This window comes from Homo sapiens, chromosome 6, assembly GCF_000001405.40.
Source record: "Homo sapiens chromosome 6, GRCh38.p14 Primary Assembly".
Lineage (NCBI taxonomy): Eukaryota > Metazoa > Chordata > Mammalia > Primates > Hominidae > Homo > Homo sapiens.
Window position 1 is genome coordinate 15,614,209 of NC_000006.12, and position 14,493 is coordinate 15,628,701.

Genomic DNA, 14,493 nt, shown 5'->3' on the forward strand with positions numbered 1-14,493 from the left:
CACCTCACCTATGTATTAGCTTCATTGGGGGTAGGGGGGTGGTGGTATATTAGTGACCAGCTCCTCCTGTCCATGATAGCAACCCACTCCTGTTATTGTCACATCCTAGATCCAGAACAGCTCCACTCATCAACACTCCTAACACCAAGAGTGTACTCTGCCCAACCTATCCATCTTTCTCTCCACCAAATCTGCTCTTGGGCCACAGCCAGACCCAATCCCATGACTTCCGCTTCCTCCCAACTAGCAAAGCCCGCCTCCAGCTTCAGTTCCAGAGGCGCCCAGCACAGATGACAGTCTGTCTCATGTCCTCTGAGACTGACTCCCCACGGACTTCAGAAATACCAACCCTGTACCTTCCTTCTCTGAGATGGCCACTGCAGGACTTGGGATGCCAGAGCTAGTCTAGCAGGCTGTTACCCTTAGACTCCTTTTCCATCTCCAGTTCAGGTTGGCCTAGTGATAACAGCCATTATTATAACTAATATTTACAAAGCACTAACTGAATTAGGTAACAATTAATTCATTTAATCCTTATAACAACTCTATGATAGGGGTACATCATTATCCCATCATAAATCAGTGACATTGAGGCCAAGAGAGATAAAATAATTTGCCTAAGGTCTCAAAGGTAGTGTGTGACCGAGCTGAGATTTGAAGCCCTCCAGCCCCTTTCCACAGCCTGAGCTCATGCTCCTTTCCTTCTGCTCTAGTAATGGAGGAGAAGAGCAGGAAAAGAAAAGAGCAACCCAGTCATTTGCCTCTTGGAGAAAACTAGCTCAGGGCTCCTATTTTGCTGGAAAACTTTGCCCTGTGCTCCACTCCTTCATCTTTATATTTGGGATTCATGTTTTACCTTCTCCTGAGTTTTTTATAACTCATCTCCAAAAGATGGCAACAGACAGTGGTTTTTAAAAAAAGTTTTGGAAAGCTTATTTATCAGTTTTATGTTGAAACCTTTGTCTTTTATCAGCCGGGACTTCTAAAGAGTAGCATGTAAAGTAATATGGAAAACTTCGAGACTGGAATGAATACTGTGGCAAACTTTTCAAACTCACCTCTTATTTTTCTTGTAATTCTCCAGTTGCTGGGACTGCATATGTTTGCATCTTTCTAATTCACACTGCCCACATAAGTCTTCCAGATGCAGCAGGTTGTTCTCTACCTCCTCAAAACTCGCCTCTAAATGAGCTGAAAGTATATAAAAATAAACAGACCTCAAAAGTCAGAATCCTCAATCATGATGAATACAAAAAGTATCAAAAAGGTAAAAGTTCACATTGTTGAGATTGTTTTGCATTTTTAATGTTTTTTATTAAACTTTCTTGAAGCAAAATAAAATATACTGGCCAACATTAAACCATAATTCAAATTACTTTTTTGACTACATTTCAAGCATTTTCAAGAAATAACTTTCCTAAACACTTATTAACCAGGAAGACAAAGAAATGGAGAAACATTATCTTGATTAACGTAATGCTATATCCTAATGATCCCATATACCACATGTGAATAACCAATTTTCACATAAGAATATGGTAAAATATAATTAACACAAATTATACCTACCTTAACCTAATTACACCTATACTTAACTAACTTAATATCTGTGTTTCTAAATTACGTTAGCATTTGTTTTGCCTCTGGCACATCACATACACAAATCTTCAAGGCACAGTAGATATGCACAAATACTTGGTAAGCATGAGTTACCAGGCTACTCAGTGGTTGGGTGAGGAACAGACTTTGCTCTGCCTGTCAGGTGACTAGTCTTTCACTACTCCACTCTGCTGCTAGGCCACAGAGCCTTGCAGCTGTATTGGAACATGAAGATCACCCACTCAAACCTTTCACTGAGAAGATTCAAGACTAAAGCCTAGAAAAACAAATACAGTGCCTTGCCCAGGCAAGCTAGTGAAGGGCCACACGGCCAGTGAAGGGCAGTCAGGAATCCAAACTGAATCCCTCTCACATTACACTAATTTCCAATTGACAGGGTGCTAAGTAAACTGAGATTGTAGGGGCAAGGATTAGTTGTTTTCTTATACGAAAGAAAAGCTTTCGAGGTCAAAGATTTGAGAACTCAGAGCCTCATAACTAGTTATCTATTATTCACTGACATATGCCAGTCACTGTGCCAGTCACTGTGATACAAAGATGAAAAAGACAGTCCTGGAGCTCAAGGAGCTTACAGGAGAGGGGAGGTATATTTCAATGGCAACAGAGCATGACAGAGTAAGGCATGAGGTGCCGAAGGAACTCAAAGGAGTGGCATCTAACACAGATGAGGGAAAGCTCAGCCAGAAATGACTCCCAAGTCAGGAAGTAACAGCGATCCAGTGGGGAAGGGAGCAGTGAAGAACAAGTTGGCTGTGCAGCCTTCCAGTCTTGGGTTCACTTAAACGGCTACAATATAATTCCTTCATTTACGTACTAGCTTTTTACATGACTTTCTAAACTAGCTTTCATAGCATTTAGGTTTGAGGCAAACTCCTCAAATTTCAACTTACAATTATAGGTTTATTGTAATGCAAATTTTTGCCGTTTTTTGAAGTCCTAGAGAGAGCAATTAGGCACAAGAAAGAAATAAAGACATCCAAATAGGAAAGGAGGAAGTCAAAATGCCTCTGTTTGCAGATGACATGATCTTATGTATAGAAAACTCTAAAAGCGCCACCAAAAAAACTTTCAGAACTTGATAAATAAATTCAGTAAAGTTGCAGGATACAAAATCAATACACAAAAATCAGTAGCATTTCTATACAACAACAATGAAATTGCAGGGGGGAAGAAATCAAGAAAGCAGTCCCATTTACAATAGTTACAAAATATTACAATACTTAAGAATAAATTTAACCAAGGGAAGGAAAGAGCCAGGTGTGGTGGCTCACACCTGTAATCTCAGCACTTCGGGAGGCTGAGGCAGGAGGATTGCTTGAGCCTAGGAGTTTCAGATCAAGGGGATGAAAGATCTCTACAAGACAAAGTATAAAACACTAATGAAAGAAGTTGAAGAAGACACAAAAATGAAAAGACATCCCCATGTTCATGCATTAGAAGAATATTGTGAAAATGATCATGCTGCCAAAAGTGATCTACAGATTAAATGCAATCCCTATCAAAACACCAATGACATTCCTCACAGAAATAGAAAAAAAAAATTCTAAAACTCATATGGAATCACACAAGACCCTGAATAGCCAGAGCAATCCTGAGTTAAAATAACAAAGCTGGAATCATCAGATTGTCTGACTTCAAAATATACTACAAAAAGCTATAGTAACCAAAACAGCATGATGCTAGCATAAAAACAGACATGCTGGAACAGAACAGAGAACCCAGAAAACCCACAAATAAATCCACATATTTATAGCCAACCAGTTTTTGACAAAGGCACCGAGAACATTCATTGGGAAATACATGGTCTCATCAATAAACGATGCTGGGATAAGCGAATATCCATATGCAGAAGAATGAAACTAGACCCCTAACGTTCACCCTATACAAAAATCAACTCATAATGGACTAAAGACTTAAATGTAAGAGCTGAAACCATGAAACTACTAGAAGAAAACATATGGGAAACATTTCAGAACATTGGTTTGGACAAAGATTTTATGGAGAAGACCTCAAGACACAAGCGACAAAAGCAAAAATAGACAAACTAGACTGTATCAAACTAAAAAGCTTCTGCCTGGAGAAAAAAAAACATCAAGACTGAAAAGACAACCAGCAAAATGGGAGAAAATACCTACAAACTACTCATCCCACAAGGGATTAATATCCTTTCCTTTGAATATATCCCTAGTACTGGGACTGCTGGCCATATGGTGTTCTATTTTCGTTTTGTTTTGTTTCAGAGGAACCTCCATACTATTTTTCATAATGGCCCTATAATTAAAATTCCCAAGAAATTCTTACACAAGGAACCCAAACAATGCAACAGCAAAAAATAAAAATTAAAAAAAACCTATTAAAAATGGGCAAATGAACTGAATAGACATCTCTCAAAAGAAGGTACATGAATGGCCAACAGGTATATGGAAAAATGTTCAACATCACTAATTATAAAGGAAATACAAATCGAAACCACAATGAGATATCATCTCACCCTCGTTAGAATAGCTATTGCCACATGGAAATAACAGGCACTAGGGACTCCAAAAAGGGGGGAAGCGTGGGAAGGGACAAAGATTGAAAAACTACCTACTGGGTACAACGTTCACTGTTTGGGTATTGGGTACACTACAAGCCCAATCTCCTCCAATATGCAATACAGCCACACAACAAACAAGCACATGTACCCCCTTACCCCCTAAAACTAAAAAAAAAAAAAGAATAGCTATTAGCGAAAAGACCAAAAATAACAAATTCTGTCAAGAACGCGGAGAAACGAGTTCTCATACGCTGTTGTCGGGAATTTAAATTAGTATAACCACTATGGAAAACAGTATGGAAGTTCCTTAAAAATTCAAAAGTAGAACTACCATATGACCAGCAGTCCCACTACTATCGGGAATACAGCCAAGGGAAAGGAAATCAGTATGCTGAAGCATTATCTGCACTCCCATGTTCATTGCAGCTCTATACACAATAGCCGAGATATGAATTCAACCTAAGCATCCATCAATAGATGAATGGATAAAGAAAATGTGTTATATATAAACGATGGAATACTATTCAGCTGTAAAAAAGATTTAAGTACTATCATTCGCAGCAACATGGATAAGCCTCGAGGACATTATGTTAAGTGAAATAAGCCAGGCACAGAAAGATAAATACTGTATGTTTTCACCCACATGTGGAAGCTAAAAACGTTGATCCCAGGGAAGTAGAGGGTAGAACAGTGTTTACTAGAGGCTGCTGGGGAGGTGGGCAGTAGCCAAAGGTTGGTTAACAGATACAAAATTACAGCTAGATAGGAAGAATAAGTTCTAGTATTCTATAGCACTGTAGGGAGAGTATAACAATTTACTGTACATGTTCAAATAGCAAAAGAGTGGATTTTGAATGTTCCCAAAACAAAAAAATGATGTTTGAGGAGATGGATATGCTGACTACCTTGATTTATTACACACTGTGTACATGTATCAAAAATCACACTGTGCCCTATAAATATACACAATTATGTGTCAATTAAAAATAATAATAAAAGCAAAAAATATACGTAAATACTTAAAAATTTTTTAAAAGAAAAGAAACTGGGAGAAAATCATTGCAGAACATACATGATAAAGGACTGTTATCCAAAATATTACAAAGTACTCAATTTGCAACTGAGGGACAGTCTACAAAATATCTGATCACCATGTCTCAAAAAATTGTCATGGTCATCAAAAACAAAAAATGTTTGAGAAACTGTCAGAGCCAGGAGGAGCCTAAGAAGACAAGATGACTAAATTTAATGTGGTCTCCTGAATGAGACCTTGGAACTGAAAATAATATTAAGTAAAAAAAAATTAATAAAGTATGAATTTTTATTAATGAAGATTTTATTTTTAATTAATCTTTGTTTGATCCAAACAGCTATTAGATAATCCAGAAGTGTTGACATTTTCTCTTTTTATCCTCCTCTCAAGCATTTATCCTTTGAGTTAGAAACAATCCAATTACATTCTTTAAGTTATTTTAAAATATACAATTAAGTTATTATTGGCAATAGTTACCCTACTGTGCTATAAAATAGTAGGTCTTATTCCTTTTTTTTTTTTGACACTTTCTAATATCCTAAATTTTAACTCTATTAAATATTTGTGCTTATAAAAACTCCCTCTCCTCTCTGCTAGGGTGTAAGGCTTAAAAACATGAATTTGGTCGGGGGGGAATAACATTTTATTCAAAAGTGAAAATTTGATGACAAGCAGTTTAGCAGTTTTCTTCAGACATTTTAGGTACTGACTTTTATCATATTAATATATCACGGTAAATCTGGAAAAGGCTAATAATAATGTAGTTCATGGTGCTTTTGAATCTAGCTTCAGGGACCACATCAAACAGCTACTATATGTGATTATGGAACGCTTAAATGAAACAATTTGTAAAATCTAAATTTTAGCCAATAACTGTATTTAAGATTTTAAAGAATGTCATAAATGGTACATAAGGAGTTTATATGGGGGAATCAGGCAAAATGATGTACTGCCATTTATATATATATTTTTTTGTAGAGACGAGACCTCACTATGACCTGGCTGGTCTTGAACTCCTGGGCTTGAGCGATCTTCCTGCGTTGGCCTCCCAAAGTGCTGGAATTACAGGTGTGAGCCACCCCACCCAGCCTACATTGTTTTTTGTTTTATTAAATGAAAAACTGACTAGGAGATTCAGCTTGGGAGCTAGTACTCCTAGTACTAAAGAAGCAATATTCAGCTCATTCTGTTATAACTAGTCTGACATGGTCTTAAAATGTATAAAACACTATCATAGCTAATAGGATTATTTAAAAGGCTGTTTCATTTTGATTAGTGATAAAAACTAGAATAGTTAAATTTAATATAGACTCCATTTAACTCTAAGCTACTTGGTGCATTCAGTATCGTGCATGTATGCTTAGCATATGGGGGACGGGTTAAGAGCTAGGCTTTGAAGCACAAGCTTAAAAACCCAGCTCTGCTCCTGCCAGATGAGATGCAATGTGATACCTCGTCTGTGAAGAGAGAGCTAACAACACATATCTTGCAAAGCTGTTAAAAGGATTAAATGAGCCGAAGTACCTAAACTTAATACTTGACAGTAAATAATTAATGTTTGAATATAAAAAATAGAGAAAATTTTTAGATTAGCTAAGTTTTATATTTAATAAAAGTGATTGAAAACTAATAATTTCATTGACCAGTAATGATCATGATGTAAACAAGATCTATGGATCTATTAGATCAAAATGTCAACAACATTTTCATTTTTATCTTACAAACTTACACACCTATAAGTTATTTTCCAGGCTATAGTCTTAGACTTAAGATCTCCTACAGGTAAAAGGAATTAAATTTCAAATGATTTTTCTGAAAAGAAACTATGTAATGGAGCCAACAATTATTCTATGCTGGAAAATGTGTATGTTCTTTTTACCTCTTTAATCTTTATCTGGACAGATGGCAATTTCCATTTAGATTCTAGCTCTGTTGGTTGACTACAGAGCTAATGAGGCCAGGAACTTAAATGAGGTTGATCTCTAGGCAGGCCAATTAATTTCTCACAGACAGAAATTCTGTTCTAGGTACAAATTGTACTTGCTGCCCTAGTCACTCTTTTGTTAATAACGTGGGGACCAGATGAAAACATGTGAGTGGTTTATCAACCTGGAATTCCTAATGAGAAACAAACTGTACATACTTCTGAATAGGACGGCCTCATGCTCTTGTGCTGAATGACAAATTTAGACTAAAAATGCTTGAAATAGTCCGTGGTCATTTTACTGCTAACACCAAATTCATATTTATGTTCTCCCCTTTAAAAAGCTTCACAGGCTCCCCAGCCCTTTCAAGTTAAACTCCTTATCATTCAGAGAGCTACTGCTCTCTGGCCACAAACTGTTTACTTCACTTCTTTCCTTCACATATTCTACATTACAGCAAAACAAGAGGAGTACTGAGCGTTGGTGCCTCCTCCTCCTTGCCTCTGCCTGTCCCTAACCCCGGCCTGTCTTTTCAGGCTTAGGCCAGTGGCAGCCCGCCCTCCTCCCACAGGGCTCCCTTCCTCTTCTGTGCTTCCCCAGACCTTTCAGCCTCACACAGGACTCACATTCTGACTGATATCATCCAACCAGTTGTGTACTCTCATATCTCTCAGGAATCAGTAAGGGCCTTAAAGGTGCAGACTGTATTTTTGCTTTTTTGCTATCCCCTAATAACCCTGTCTGTTGAATTCAATAAAGAATAATTTCTGGTGATAGAATGATTTTATTACTCTAACATGTAAAATAACTGAGAAGGCAAAACTATTCATGGTCATCTAGTTTAAATATTAAGAGACTATGCCAAATTTTGTAAAAGAATAAACATGAGCAGAGAACTTAGAAAACATTAAACAACATGATGATACTTTTAGTATATTAAACCAGGTCACATTATCAGTGACTTAAAACAGAAGAAATGATGAAAATTTTCCATTTTAACACTTAGCAGACTTGAAATCAGTAACAAAATATAAAATAATTGCATTGAAAAAAATAAAGGTTCATCCCCTTATATTAAACTTAAAAAAGCTCTTCATATAATAATGACAAGTACATACGTAATGTGTATTCCGAATATTTTATGTTGAATTTAAGTTAGCAGAAATTTAATTTCCCTGTCACAGCCTGCTCATTTCCTGTTGCAAAACAAGTTGCATATATGAGTACATTTGGTAACCAACTTAGGATGCATATACATAAAATACTAGCAGGCCTCCATGGACACAAATATACCTTTACAAGAAGCTCAAGCCTCACCATTTTGCTCGCTATAACAACCGCATATGTCTCATTTAGTGATCAGTGAAAGAGATAGGTAGAATTTTATTGTGAAAAGCCATTTGGGAATGCCTGACAGCTGTGCAAAAAAGAGCTTCACAAATTTTTGCAAGAAGGCCGTCCCAGAGGAAAAGCAATTCTGTTTGGAATTTTTCTTTGTGCCATTTGTTTCAAATACATATCATCTGTAGTGTAACCACTGATATATAAAGAATGAAGCAGCACACTAAAATTATTTCCCACTTAATGAGTTATTTTCTAACAAAATAATTAGCCTTATGGAACAAAGAACTCTCCTTGGCTGCAAACCCATAGGTCACAGAGGCCAGGTACTGAAAGACCACAAGACTGTTCAAATGCTTACGTTACACTTTTATGTACTAAGGTAATAAGGTAATGATGGTATGAATAAGGAAACTTTAAGAAGTACATTAACTTGCAAAAGCCATTATGGAACAAATGAGATCTATGTAGTAGCCTAAAAGGTGTCTAAGAGAATTAATGTGCCTCTTGAAGGGTCTAGCCTCAGAAAGGAACCTGGACATCTGATAATCTAGTCCATGAAAAACTGACAGAGCTATGATAATCTCTTTGTTAGATGCCCTCTAAAATTCTGTACAGAAAAAAGCAAAATAATACTGTATCAGGCTAGGTCAAACCAAAAGAAAAACACAAACTCAGTATACGGCTGCTATTCTCTTATATCTAAGAATTCTTATCTAAGAGTTAACAGCATCTTCTGGCTGGGTACAGTGGCTCAATCCTGTAATGCCAGAGCTTTGGGAGGCTGAGGCAGGAAGATCGCTTGAGTCCAGGAATAGTCTGAGGCTGCAGTGAGCTATGATCACATCACCATGCTACAGCCTGAACAACAGAGTGAGACTCTGTCTCTTAAAAAAATTAAAATTTTAAAACAAAAACAAAACCCAGAATCTTCTGTTCTAGATGAAGGGAACAGTCTTTTAAAAATAGGTCATATAAAATAAACTAAGAGAAAATTCAAAGACAAGGCTTTAACATTTTGAACTTCAATAAAGGAATAGGATTATACTACCCTCTAGTGGAAGTTCAAGATAATTCAGTATATACTTTTCAAACATATTTTTCCAGTTTTATGATTAAAAAGCACTGTGGTTTTTCACAGAATAAGAAAGTGCATAGAATCTGGATAAAAATATTCCATTGTATGCTTACACACCTTCAATGTACAGAATACTAATATCACCACATTGAATCTTGTGGTTTTGCATTCTAAACTGTTTTGCAGCACAAGCTAAACTGCCTAACATCCATCCAAACCCTCGTGTCACAGAATAATGGTTTTGTGAATTCGCAAAGGCTAGAGAGGCCCCCATTAGAACGTCAGCATCTTGATGGCAGGTGCCCAGCCTTGTTCACTGCTGTGTGTCCAGAGTCTGTACGCAGTGCGTGGTGCGTGGCAGATGCCCAGCATGTACCAGGCACTGTGCTAAGTGGTTACGTTTGTCATCTCCTTTAATCCTCCAAATACCTACAAGACAGGTATGCTCATCGTCATTTTGCAGACAAGAAAACTAAAGCTTGGAGCCATTGAGAAATCTGCACAGTTTTTAAAGTGAGGAAGTTGGATTGGGAGCCAAACCCGATCTGTCAGTTCATAGCCCTTGTTTTCCAGTTCCCAGCATACCCTTATTACTTATTTTTAAAACGACAAACCTTACCAGTAAGTATCAATTAAATAGGCTCCTGTAAGCTGGACTGAAGCCAATATGAATGGATCATCTGTTGTAACTTAACAATTCCCAAGGGGCTAGGTACCAGGAGCCATATTAATGAAGCCATGGGATAACACAGCTAAAAGCATCATCAAAAGTCCAAATTGCTCACATAACATAAATCCTTTGCCCTTCAATAAAAGCAGGGCCTCTAGAGAGCAAAGTAAGACCAAAAGAGTGAAGCAGCCTGGAAAATGGAGGGACTGACAGGATATGGTGTTACATTTGACAGTGAAAGGGCAACAAGTTCAAAGAAGTTAGGGGGACCCTGTGACTAAATATAATCGGTTACCATTTTCTTCTAAGTTTGTTTTTATTTTTTATTATTGCTTAACTATTTAAGCTTTGTAATATTATGTCAAGGTATTTGGGTAATAATAGGAGAGATTTTGAGGCTTCCAAAAAAAAAAACCCAGTAAATGAGTAAGCATTTAAAACACTAAATGTTTCCAAAATCTAAGACTGATACATAAATGCATCAAAATGAATTCATAAAGTACATTAATGGTACAGATACATGTTTACACAACTCACTCCATCAAATTTGGCTTCAAAGTGTTTGTTTTCCTACTGTAAAGAATATCGTCAGCAATGATTCTATAAAGCTTAAATTGCTTAGCTAAAAGCCTCATGATTTTAAAACAACTCTCTCTGGGCTTATTCTAGGCCAACAAATACTAACTAGGTCTCTAAAATTCCAAGTTTTGATATGCTATCTTCCACAGTCATTCATTACTAATTATAAATATCAGGCAAATAACAGCAATAGATTAAAACCCAAAGGAAGCATGTATTTCAAAGGCTAACAGATAATTCAGATTGGCAATATATATGAAAAGCAACCATCCAGACATACCTTCTAAAAAAAACTGAACTAACTCTCTAAAAAGAGCTCAATATCGGTTAGACATAGATGAGAGGAAAAAAATGACTCAAATTAATTTAGCAGTGATTAACCAGAACAGTATATCAGATAATGTTTTAGCTTTCATTTGTCTTTAGTGTTAGATGTTCTCAGATTACTAAAAAAGAGAGGATTCAAGTGAACATTTGGAAGGCCTACCTTGTGCATTTAAGAAGCCAAAATGCAGTTTCTGAAGAATAAGGTCATGTGTCACTAAACATCAAACATTTTTCAGGATATTAGAATCCTAATTGGGAACGAACATACAATATATTCTATGAAAGACTTATAGAGACTGCATTTTCTAAACAGAATTGACTATGAAAATAATGAGAACTGTGGCAGAATGCATTTAATCAATAGAGTGGTATTAAGCAAACAACAACTATCCGTAAACAGATTTACTCTCAGCTGGGGAAATAAAAGAGGTTATCATAAGAGAACATGTCTGCAAAGAAACATACAACCAATGAAAAGCAAGTGACTCAAAGAGATACAGGAAGATGAGCTGAAAGAAAGTGGCTAAGAAGAATGTTCCGAACATCTTAAAGGCTATGTCCAAGGCTTGGGAAGGACCATTACTATACCTGTAAGAGGAAACCAATGCAGACGGCAATCACAGCCATTTTACACTTTTCTAAGACCCAGAATCTCTTTTCCATGCCCTGCCTTCAGAAATAACAAAACACTGACCCTGAAAGGCATGGCAACAGCCAGGGGACTTGAAGAATACAGTTCATAGAGACCTACTGAGAGCTCCCATCCCACTGCCTCATCACCTCATCCTACTGCCTCATACTGATATTGAGGATATCATCAATGTGGTTGGAATCCTAGATGCATTTATAAATTTTATGATTCTGAGCAAGTTGCAACCTCTCCAAGCCTTAGTTTATCTGTAAATTGGGAATAATAAAAGCTACTTTTGTGGGGTTCTTGTGAGAATTACAGATAGTATCTGTAAATCATCTAATCATCTCTGACATACAGTAGGTGCTATAAACATTAGCTACTGTTATCAGCAACAGCACTCCAAATACTACGTATCTATTTTGTTCACACACAAAAAACTGTCTTATGACTTGCCAATTACTTGCCTTGTAAATCAGTCATGTTTTGCTTTGAATAAGGCAATATTAAAAACAGGAGGAGATAATAGGGTATCTTTAGCTTCCCACCTAAAAGACTAAAACAGGTTATTAGCTCATACAGACAGCTCCTACCTCCTACTTTACTAAGATCTTAAGCTTGATTAGGAAATAGTAAGCTGCAATATTATCCTTAGATGTGGCATCATCAAACATAAAAGATAATTTTCTGAATATAAACCCAAGAAAAAAAGAATACCAACATAATCCATCCAAATGAACAACGACAAAAAAATAAATTTCCACAGAGTATAAATTTAGCCAAACAGGTACCCTAATTTACTTTGTTGTTGTTGTTGTTTGAGACAAGGTCTCACTATGTTGCCCAGGCTGGATTCAAACTCCTGGGCTCAAGCACTCCTCCTGCCTCAGTCTCCAGAATAGCTGCAACTGCAGGCACGTGCCACCACACCCAGCACAAGTACCCTCATTTAACCAGGTTTGTTTGATCTCCAATCCGTTTGAAGAGAAAAAAATACACTACAAGACATGAAGTTCTAGCATATCTAAATTTTAAAAGCAACAATTTCTGGAATACATTCTACAGTAAGGACAAAGTCACCTAATCCATTTTCTATATGTATGCTTTTAAACAGAGACCAAATGTCAACAAAGACAACCTGAGTCACTTTAAGAATCAACATAATTATAATTATGTGTCCGGAGCTGACCTGAGGCAGAAACAGAACTAATTTCTACACTTTACATCATTTTCTGTGGAATCCTCAACTAATCAAAATATGAAATCATGATTTTCCAAAAAATCCTGTTAACCCAGAATTTCATGTGTTCCTGAAAAGCTCTGAAATTACACCAAACCCTGCCCAAGTTGTTTTCATTCCTAAAAGTAATGTACAATGAAAACATTGGACTTACTCAGATTTGCTGTCATGGATTCTAAGTCTGCGATTAAAGCTGGGAGCTGCTGGAGCTGCTCTTGCAGCTCCACGAGGCTTGTCTTTTTCTTCTCCCAGTGCGCAGAAAGCATGACCACCTCGCTATCCACCAGCTGCAGCACACAAGAAGGGGGGTAAAGTGAAACCAGGTTTTAGGCACAAAGAAAGTACAGTTAACGTAATGAGATTTAATGTTATCTTTAACAACCCCTCTACTCAGTAGAGATTACGGTACATTCTAAAAGAGACTGAAGTTGTTTTCATTTTTAGAAAAGAAACAACTTAATATTCAGTGCAGGAAACCTCCAATTACTGCTTGTATCAGTGCATCTTAACCCACAGAAGAGAAAGTTTAAAAATGACTTCAGAAGTCACTTCTAAGTATACCCTGTTTTAAGCAGACCATGTATTTGAAAAGCTAAATCTAGAAAAAAAAAAAACAAAAACAAAAAACTACCACTAACAACCAAAAAGAAAACAAACATAAAACATAATTAACGGGTAATTATTGGCTTTACGAAAGGAAGTCTTCAAAGAAAAGTTCCCTAATACATTTAGAATATACCATGTTTCAATTTACATTTAAACAGGAATACTTATTGCATAAAGTATATAAAGGAATTTTGAGGAAACTGGCCAATTCCAGAATTCCAGAAAAAGAGGAAATGATTTAAGTTAATGAGGAATTCAGCAGATGTAAAGGGTTCCTAATAGCAAGGTTGTGAAATTCTAGAATAGCCTAAGATAATTCTAACTTCTTTTGCTAAAGACTATAAAGAAAATGACAGACATTAGTTTCTCCCAGACAATTCTGTTTTGGTCTTAACATAGTGGGAGGGACAAGGGCCTAGAAAGACTTAGAAGGAGCAAGAAGAGGTGATCTTTTGAAAATATCAACATGAATAAGCAAGAACTGTGGAAAAAACTCCATAATCTGTACGATAAAAAATAAAGGTAACAAAACCCATTATATGACAGAAGAAAATGAATTTGAGTATTCAAAACAGACAATTTGTACATCTCAAGATTAAGGTTCTTTTTTTTTTTTTTTTTTTTTTTTGAGACGAAGTTTCGCTCTTGTTGCCCAGGCTGGAGTGCAGTGGTGCTATCTTGGCTCACTGCAACCTCCGCCTCCCAGGTTCATGCGATTCTCCTGCCTCAGACTCCCCAGTAGTTGGGACTACAGGCACCTACCACCACACCCGGCTAATTTTTTGTATTTTTAGTAGAGACAGGGTTTCACCAAGTTGGCCAGGCTGGTTTTGAACTCCTGGCCTCAAGCAATCCACCCATCTTGGCCTCCCAAAGTGTTAGGATTACAGGCATGAGCCACTGTGCC

General features: G+C 36.8%; 1 protein-coding gene across 8 annotated transcripts in view, besides 2 other annotated features; it reads right to left on the reverse strand.

Moving 5' to 3' along the window:
* The window catches only part of DTNBP1 (dystrobrevin binding protein 1), a 140,252-nt gene that overhangs the window by 91,402 nt on the left and 34,357 nt on the right, over positions 1-14,493 (reverse strand). For all 8 annotated transcript variants that reach the window (NR_036448.3, NM_001271669.2, NM_001271668.2 and 5 more), the window contains 2 exons: positions 13,135-13,267; positions 1,059-1,191 (listed from right to left, as the gene is read on the reverse strand). Coding sequence is in view for 7 of the 8 variants with exons in the window: in NM_001271669.2 (NP_001258598.1) it covers positions 1,059-1,191; positions 13,135-13,267 (266 nt within the window). In the remaining variant the exon portion in view is untranslated. The remainder of the gene's footprint in view (positions 1-1,058; positions 1,192-13,134; positions 13,268-14,493) is intronic.
* Positions 1,856-1,945: an enhancer, noted in NCBI's record as "active region_24085". NCBI's record gives its function as "activates an Ori minimal core promoter by ATAC-STARR-seq in GM12878 lymphoblastoid cells {active_cell/tissue: GM12878}" and the evidence as "EXISTENCE:reporter gene assay evidence [ECO:0000049][PMID:35858748]".
* Positions 7,547-7,646: an enhancer, noted in NCBI's record as "active region_24086". NCBI's record gives its function as "activates an Ori minimal core promoter by ATAC-STARR-seq in GM12878 lymphoblastoid cells {active_cell/tissue: GM12878}" and the evidence as "EXISTENCE:reporter gene assay evidence [ECO:0000049][PMID:35858748]".